The 9471-nt window shown below is 41.6% G+C and overlaps 1 annotated feature.

The window, feature by feature from the left end:
- Positions 4350-5549: an enhancer, noted in NCBI's record as "CDK7 strongly-dependent group 2 enhancer chr9:106994559-106995758 (GRCh37/hg19 assembly coordinates)". NCBI's record gives its function as "activates an origin of replication core promoter dependent on BRD2, BRD4, P300/CBP, MED14 and CDK7 cofactors, with strong dependence on CDK7, by STARR-seq in HCT116 cells {active_cell/tissue: HCT116}" and the evidence as "EXISTENCE:reporter gene assay evidence [ECO:0000049][PMID:35650434]".

Below are 9471 nucleotides of genomic sequence, written 5' to 3' on the forward strand. Positions count from 1 at the left end.
ACTCAATAGCAAAAAATGCACCTGATCATCACAAGGGTCTGGAAACAGAAACTGGGGAGAAGACTAGATTCTAAATGTCAGTATGAGGAGTCCATCAGGGATTGCAATCTGTCATGGCTCCTAACTAGTCTTTGTGACAGGTAAGGAATACTAAGGAAGAAAACTCTACCATTGTAATTTAGGATTAGCTGGTGTATAGACCCTAACTACTTAAATTTAGAGAACAGATTTTTAGCGTGTTCCACAGGCATAACACTGCAGCACTTCTCTGCCATCCAGTGAGCCATGTCCTCTTCAAGGAGTCTGCATCAGCACTTGGCAGACCTCATTTTTGGATTCTCTATTTCAGTTCTAGCAATAACATCTGGTCCTAATGTCTATTATTTCTATATTTTGTAGAGTTTTCTTCACTTCTTATGGGCCAATCTCTCATGATTCCAAACTCCATCATAGTTAATATTGTTTCACATTAAAGGTTTCCTGTTCAAATCACTGGATGGTTTCTGTTTCTTGATTGGACCTGGACTAATTCTAATTGAAACTGCCCTAAAGGCCTTATTTCTTACACTTTAAAAAAGCCATCACTTTTTGTTTCCTTGTATTGTTACTCATGCTAATACTATGAATGGTTAATCACTATTGATCTTTGCCTTTTTTATTAGATCAGAGATCCTCATTGCCATTACTGATAGTTTAAACTGAATAATTCTTTGTTACATGGGGATTCTCTGTGTGTCATAGCATGTTTATCAGCTTCAGAATCACTCCTGGCTGAGAATCACTGAATAAGATAGTTTTCCTCTTTTTAAAAAAACATGTGGTTCTTTCATTCATTTGGGATATATTTGGGTTTTTAGAATAAAAACAGAAGCTTATTTTATTTTCTTTCTGAACATATAGGCCATTGTCCCAGGCCAGATTATTAAACAATGCTTCCTTCTTCACTGATTTAAAATGCTGCCTTCATCTTTTATTTCTTATGCATATTAGTTTATACTTTAGAACTATTTTCTATTCCATTAAACTTTCATTCATTTCTACAATCTTTTAATTATTTTGGCTTTATAATGCATTTTTAAATATCTGAGAGGTTTGGGTCCCTTTAATAACTCTTCTTTTTCAAAATCTACATACCTATGCTTGTTCATTAATGCTTTCAAATGAGCATTTAAATGGTTTTGTTAAGGTTTTTAAGTGTTTTCTTTGAACAAATTGCATTTAATCCATTAATCACGATAAAAATGATTAACATCACTTACAAAGAGCCACTCTTCTCAGACAGGAACTTCATAAAGTCATTTATTCAAATCTCCCTTTATGCAAGTCAGCGACACTTCATCATTTTCTTCATTAAAACCCTGTATATTTCTTGTTCGGTTTATTTCTAGATATTCTCTATTAAGATTGGGAATAAGGTTATTTGTTTCAATATATTTTTAACTATTCAATGCCAGTGTTAAAGTTATAGGCCAGGCACAGTTGTTCATGCCTGTAATCCCAGCACTTTGGGAGGCTAAGGCAGGCAGATTATTTGAGGCCAGGAGTTCGAGACTAGCCTGGCCAACATGGTGAAACCCTGTCTCTAGTAAAACATACAAAAATTAGCTGGGCATGGTGACACACACCTGTAATCCCAGCTACTCAGGAGGCTGAGACAGGAGAATCGCTTGAACCCAGGAGGCAGAGGCTGCAGTGAGCCGAGATCATGCCATTGCACTCCAGCCTGGGTGACAGAGGGAGACTCCATCTCAAAATAAAATAAAATAAAATTTAAAAGTTATAGATTTTATATATTTATTGCATACCTGACTTTATTAAACTCCTATAAATCTTATTTTTTAGCTAATTTTCTTGAGTGACCAAATCTATTTCAATGTAAGAATTTTAGTAAAATACAAATTTTTCATGAGACCATTATCTCCTCATAGAAAGTAGAATCTTTATAATTTTCTGAGAGATTTTCTCATCTCATTAAAATCTTCTTAGAGAGAAGCATTGGAAGGCATACATTGGAAGGAGATAAGGTAATAGTTCTCTGTGAATATAAAAGATAATGTCGTATATTTTTCTCTCTTTTCTCACTCCTTGATATTACAGGGTCAGTGCTGGCATACATTTGCTGCAAGATATGAAGGTATTGTCAATTCAGTTTGGTTCAACTAACATAGTCAAATATCTTTTATGCATCAAACTTGATCTTAGTTCTGGCAAGAAAAAAAAAAAAAAAATCTCAGTCCTTATCCTAAAGGAGCCTATTTCCAAAGAGTAGAAAGGACAAATAGAAAATTTCAAAATAATATGGTGTTTACTGTGAAAGTAAAATGTCCAAAATATGGTTGTTATCAGAGATCAAATGAAGGAGAGCTAAAGCAAGTCCTCATGGAAGAATGGATGGAGATCAATGAAAGATTTTCCAAATAAAATTGCATGTAAGGTGGACAAGAAAGATTTAGCCATGTTAACGGTGTATGGAGTAAGATGGGGTGGTGAGTTGTTGAGAAAGAAGGTACTGCATAAGCAAATTCATAAATGTATTGGGGACATATATGTATGTGTTGGGGACAGAGATACTATACATGTTGTGGAATTGCTCAAGTTTAAGGCAAGGAGAATAATGGACATGAGGCTTGAAGAATTAGGTAGAGACTAGATCTTAAAAGTTTTTATATTAGGAAAGATACTTGAACTTAATTTTCTAGGTGATACGGAACCTATGTGTGTGTTGAGTAATACTGTCAGATTTCCTTTTTATAGATAGAGCAGTGTGGTGATGCTATGAAGGATAGATTAATGGGTGTAGTGTGGACTAGCTTAAAAATAAAAAATTAAAAAATCAGTAAAGAGGCTACTGCACCAGGAAGGCAGTTACTCCAAATTGAACTAGTTTGTTCTAGCAATGATGTAGTCAAAGGGACAGATTCTAGAGACTGGCAGGATTTGTTAACTAATTGGATAGTTTGATGAGTTTGTATGGTGTCAATTAGCTAAGCTGGAATTATGTTTTTCAGAATTCCCTTTACTTCCTTGTTCCAGGTTAACATGGGCATTGTAAAATATTTTGTGTGAGATTTGGAAGACAGGTGTGAAACAGTAGTTACACATTTAATGCAGGGAATGTCATTGAGGGCACTGGGCACGGCTGTAGCGCATACACACTGTTGTTGATATACTGGCTTACCTAATTGGCTTGGGCAACTGCTGGTGCCACAGCTTCTCTAGTTCCTGCTGGTTTTTCTTCAGCTTTTCCTGAGCCAGACCCAGCACCACATGAAGAAGGAAGAGTCATACACCAACTTTGTAATCAGTCTCCACAATTCCTTGGAGTCCAATTCTAACATACATCTATATTTTCTGTCATTTCTTGTGGCTCTATTTTTCTGATTAAATCACGACTGATAATAGATATAGAGAATGATAAAGAGAAGAAGTGTACCAACCCACTAGATTTCTTTGTGGAGTCATTTGGTAGATAATGGCAGGATACATTGTAATAGAGGATACATGAGAGGAATAAATCTGGAGTATGTAAACTCTGGAGTTAGTATGTAAACCCCCAAAATCAGCTTTGAAGTGTGGGATCTGATTTGCTTGAAACATCTATGTGGTGATGCCAGTTGGAATGGTAGATAGTTCTTTATCTTAATCCAAGAGGAGGGATCAAAGGTAGTGACACTGTATTGAAGCAATTGTATAGGGGGTAGGTAAAACCATGATAATTGATGAGGTCACCCAGAGAAATCAAGGGGTAGAAAGTGAATTGGAGAGGGTACAGTACAGGAGGAACACATCCTAATTTAAGATGTGTTCGGGGAGAAATTGACCAATAAGAAGACCAAGAAACAGTGGTTTTAAAAGGTGAGAAGAATAGGGGGTGGGGGTAAAAAGAGTATAATGAAAACAAATAATTTTAACATATTTAAGAATCAAGGTCTTCTATATCATTTGGGGCAGAGAGTTTTTTTGGATTTGTTAATATGAAAATTACAACTAGGTAACCTTTGGCTCAGCAGTTTCTGTGGGGTAGCAGGGGCATAAGCCAAATGTTCAAATTCATTGAGCACTAGAGTGAGTATAAAAGTGTGATGATGGTTGAAAATGGGGCAGGAAAATGGGGAAAACTGCCTAGAATCTGGAGGTAGATATGGAGTCAAGGGAGGCCTTTTTCAGCAATGAGAGGTATATATATTCTAAGGGAAGTGATCTAGTGGAAGTATGACAATGAAGCTATAGGAAAGTGTTATAATTGGTAGAGCAAACAACTTGGGTAAACAGAAGAGAATGGAGTCAAGAGCCTAAGGAAAGAGTTATCCGTGAGGAGAAAGAAAGGCATTTCTAAGACTAGAGGGGAAAATGTGATGATATTTGCAACTACAGATGGCTTTGCAGGCAGGGAGGTGTGCTCTGTTTTGCTGATCAATACGAAGCTGTCTCCTGAAAGTGAATGAGAAAGGGGCATGCAGCATATGAGAAAAGTAATGTTTTGGAATAGTCACTAGAGGAAATGTGGAGATAAACCAAGTACAGTGAGAAATTTGGTTTTCGGTGGATCATCTAAGGAAACTATGTTAGAAAAGAAAAGCTCTGTCCTAGGAGTGTCTTGCTTTGAAAAGGCATCATATCTGAAAAGCAAAGAAGGCTAGATGTCCTATATAATGCCCATCTGTATTAGCTGGTTCTCATGCTGCTATTAATAATAATAATAAGGACACACCTGAGACTGTTATTTATAAAGGAAAGAGGTTTAATTGAATCACAGTTCAGCATGGCTGGAAAGGCCTCAGGAAACTTGCAATCATGGCAGAAGGGGAAGAAAACACGTTCTTCCTCACATTGCAGCAGCAAGGAGAAGTGCTGAGCAAAGGGGAAAAAGCCCCTTAGAAAACCATCAGATCTCATGAGAACTGACTCACTATTACAAAAGCAGCATGGGGGAAACCACCCCTATGATTCAATTACCTATCACCACATTCCTTCCATGACATGTGAGGATTATGGGATTACAATTCAAGATGAGATCTGGGTGGAGACACAAAGCCAAACCATATCACCACCTCAACAGGAAGGGCAGGAAAGGAGGCAATGATGCAGCTGGCAGAAATTATTTTAAAAAGTGGCAATTGGGAAATGAACAAAGGAAAGGTTGTATGGCAGATGGCAGAGTAATAGATGTTTTTACAAAGCAGCCTTGTGAGAGGCAAAGTTGTGGTGTAATGTATTTCCTGCTTGGAATATTCTCCTATATGCTGCCATGTGTTGCTATGCAGTTATGGAGAGTACAAAAACAGCCATTCTTTAGCTGATAGAAACATTCCTGAGGATCTATGATGTGCCAAGATTGGGTTAGTCACAGGGAATGTAGCAGTGACAGATATGGTCTCTCTTCCCTAGGAGGATGTAGTCCAGTGTGGAATACAAAAAGAAATAAGAATAAATATTGTGATAAGAAAAATGAATGAACTAAATATAGGATGTTATATACAGAGTACAGAGAAGATAAAGTTTAAGGACATCTGGATGTTTGTCGGTGTCTCACTTGGCCATGTCAGAATGAGTAGCTTAAAGTTTACACAAACCTTTATCAGTAACACGTCCTCAAATTAACCTGTATTTCTGGCATCACAGTAAAACCAAGGAGTAGGAGTCAAATCAGGACAGGAAAAATGCCAAAAACCTCACATTGTAATTCTCAGAAAAATTTGCACAAAGTGTGCATTCCAGAAGTGTACCTGTAACCTCAGACACACTCCTATGATGTGTACTTCCTATGCCTGTATTGTTAACAGTGTACTAATGGGGCCAATGGCAGATAGATGTCAACAACAAAAATCAGCTTTTCTATATTGTGTCCAACTTTACTTGACTACGATTTTTGTCCTGGAATTTAAAAATACTCAATTCTGATCTATTCAAAATTAACAATTATGTTTATCTGACAGAAACACTAGTCTGAATGCTGTCATGGCTGTGCTATATTCTACCTTCTTAAGAGGCAGTCAGTTAAATAGATTCTCGATTAGGATTCCCTCTGGAATTAACTACCACATTCTAGTTAATTGGTAAACAACTTAACATCCATCTTGCTCAGAACTCATATAGTAGATTTTCCAAGTTGCTACCAGTTGCCAAATGGTCTTTGGTAATTAGAAATCCTAGAAGAGACCAGCACTGTTTTATAACCGCATGCCTTCATTCGTGGTGTGTTACTTAAACCTAGAATGTCTTTCTCCCTTTCTTTACCTGTCTATATTCTGCTGGTCCTTCAAGACTCTTCCCAGAGATCACATCCTCTTTTTTTTTTTTTTTTTTTTTTTTTTTTTAGTATTTATTGATCATTCTTGGGTGTTTCTCAGAGAGGGGGATGTGGCAGGGTCATAGGATAATAGTGGAGAGAAGGTCAGCAGATAAACACCTGAACAAATGTCTCTGGTTTTCCTAGGCAGAGGTCCCTGCGGCCTTCCACAGTGTTTGTGTCCCTGGGTACTTGAGATTAGGGAGTGGTGATGACTCTTAAAGAGCATGCTGCCTTCAAGCATCTGTTTAACAAAGCACATCTTGCACCGCCCTTAATCCATTCAACCCTGAGTTGACACAGCACATGTTTCAGAGAGCACGGGGTTGGGGGTAAGGTTATAGATTAACAGCATCCCAAGGCAGAAGAATTTTTCTTAGTACAGAACAAAATGGAGTCTCCTATGTCTACTTCTTTCTACACAGACACAGTAACAATCTGATCTCTCTTTCTTTTCCCCACATTTCCCCCTTTGCTTTTCGACAAAACTGCCATCGTCATCATGGCCCGTTCTCGATGGTCGCTGTCTCTTCGGAGCTGTTGGGTACACCTCCCAGGTGGGGCAGCCTGGCAGAGGCGCTCCTCACATCCCAGATGATGGGCGGCCGGGCAGAGGCGCTCCTCACCTCCCAGATGATGGGTGGGTGGGCAGAGACGCTCCTCACTTCCCAGACTATGGGCGGCTGGGCAGAGGTGCTCCTCACTTCCCAGACGATGGGCGGGTGGGCAGAGATGCTCCTCACTTCCCAGACGGGGCGGCCGGGCAGAGGCGCTCCTCACTTCCCAGACGGGGCGGCCGGGCAGAGGCGCTCCTCACTTCCCAGACAATGGGCGGCCGGGCAGAGGCGCTCCCCACTTCTCAGACGATGGGCGGCCGGGCAGAGACGCTCCTCACCTCCCAGACTATGGGCGGCCGGGCAGAGGTGCTCCTCACTTCCCAGACAATGGGCGGGTGGGCAGAGACGCTCCTCGCTTCCCAGACGGGGCAGCCGGGCAGAGGCGCTCCTCACCTCCCAGATGGGGCGGCCGGGCAGAGGCGCTCCTCACCTCCCAGATGGGGCGGCCGGGCAGAGGTGCTCCTCACCTCCCAGACGAAGAGCGGCCAGGCAGAGGCGCTCCTCACCTCCCAGATGGGGCGGCCGGGCAGAGGCGCTCCTCACCTCCCAGACGGGGCGGCCGGGCAGAGGCGCTCCTCACCTCCCAGACGGGGCGGCCGGGCAGAGGCGCTCCTCACATCCCAGATGAGACAGCCGGGCAGAGGTGCTCCCCACTTCCCAGATGGGGTGGCGGCTGGGCAGAGGCGCTCCTCACATCCCTGACGGGGCGTCCGGGCAGAGGTGCTCCTCACTTCCCAGACAGGGTGGCCGGGCAGAGGGGCTCCTCACATCCCAGACGATGGGCGGCCAGGCAGAGACGCTGCTCACTTGCTAGATGGGGTGGCGGCCTGGTAGAGGCTGTAATCTTAGCACTTTGGGAGGCCAAGGCAGGCGGCTGGGAGGTGGAGGTTGTAGCGAGCCGAGATCACGCCACTGCACTCCAGCCTGGGCAACATTGAGCGTTGAGTGAGCGAGACTCCGTCTGCAATCCCAGCACCTCAGAAGGCCGAGGGGGGCAGATCACCCGAGGCCAGGAGCTGGAGACCAGCCCGGTCAACACGGCGAAACCCCATCTCCACCAAAAATACAAAAATCAGTCAGGAGCGGCAGCGCGTGCCTGGAATCCCAGGCACTCGGCAGGCCCAGGCAGGAGAATCACGGGAGCCCGAGGCAGTGAGGTGAGGTTGCAGCGAGCTGAGATCATGGCAGTACAGTCCAGGCTTGGCAAGAGAGGGAGACGGTAGAAAGAAAGGGGAGAGGGAGGGAGAGAGGGAGGGGGAGGGAGAGGGAGGGAGAGGTGGAGGGGGAGGGGGAGGGCAAAATCACATCCTCTAAAGCACGTTGCCAGAACCTCCTTCCAGGCTAGGTTAAGTGTTGTTTTTGTTACTTATTTCTACTCTACCATGTCACATAAAAATAATCTACAACATGTTTGTTCCACCCAGTTTTTCAGGGCTATGATTTTCTATCTCCAGGAAAAATCACAGTCCATTCCTAATAGGTTCAGCATGTATTTTTGTACTATTGTGTTCCATTTTGTTTAGATAATGCACAACAAACTGCAGTGGAAACTTCCTTGTAACTAGATATCCTTATTCACAGAGGAGACGTTTTACCATTCATTCAACAAACATTTATTCATCACCTACTTTATGATAACCATTACAAAATGTTTTGGGGACATCAACAATAAGTTAGCAGATCTGATCCCTGCTAACTCAGTGTTCACAGCATATAGAAGCTAGGGACTGGACTCCTGTGCATACTGTGGGTAGAATTCTTACCAGAAAGGCTAATACTAGCCCTGTTAGAGCTCTCCTTTAATCTCTATCTACCTGCATACGGCTTGAAGCCCACAGAACATTAAAGATCATTTCAAGTGGGGTGTCAGCCAAAACTATGCTAGTTGTAGTGGTTAATACGTGTTATTTGCTTTGCATAGGATATATATGTGTAGAAGCTGAGCACAAATTGGAAAATTCTAGAGATTACGAGTTTTCTTTTATACAATTTTGAACTGAGACCTGGGATGGTACATAAGTTGTCTGAGGTCACAAGACAGGTTAGTGTACGAGCCAGAGGGTATCCCAGTTCTTTTTGGTGCTCATTGTTATTTTTGGAACATTGCTTATGAATCATATTTGCCAACTTACATTTTTGTAAGTATAGCTGGCTTTTGAAAAAAAAATGTCTTTCTTCTAGTATGGAAACGTGAACATCTTAAAACTTTCTAAGACACTTGTTCAATAAACATGAGTATTAGCTATGAGTAAAACATAGATGACACTAAATGTTTTACTTCCTGTCCAGGTTGTAGCTTAGGGTTTCCCAATTTCATCTACAAATTCATTCACCAATTATCTTAATTAGTCAGATTTTAATTCTAAAGTGGTTACAAGGATAACTTTTACACCCAAAACTTAATAAACTGATGTTGCACCTCTCCATCTTAAGTCAGAATGAATTGCCTAAATAGAGAAAGCCCTAAAAAGTGGCTGTAATAGAAAGGTATACCATAAACAATATGTTTGGGGTCAAATGATGAACAAGAATAAAAATAGTTGATAAAATGCAGAGATGAAACAT

The sequence above is a fragment of the Homo sapiens genome, chromosome 9, assembly GCF_000001405.40.
Source record: "Homo sapiens chromosome 9, GRCh38.p14 Primary Assembly".
NCBI classification, from domain to species: domain Eukaryota; kingdom Metazoa; phylum Chordata; class Mammalia; order Primates; family Hominidae; genus Homo; species Homo sapiens.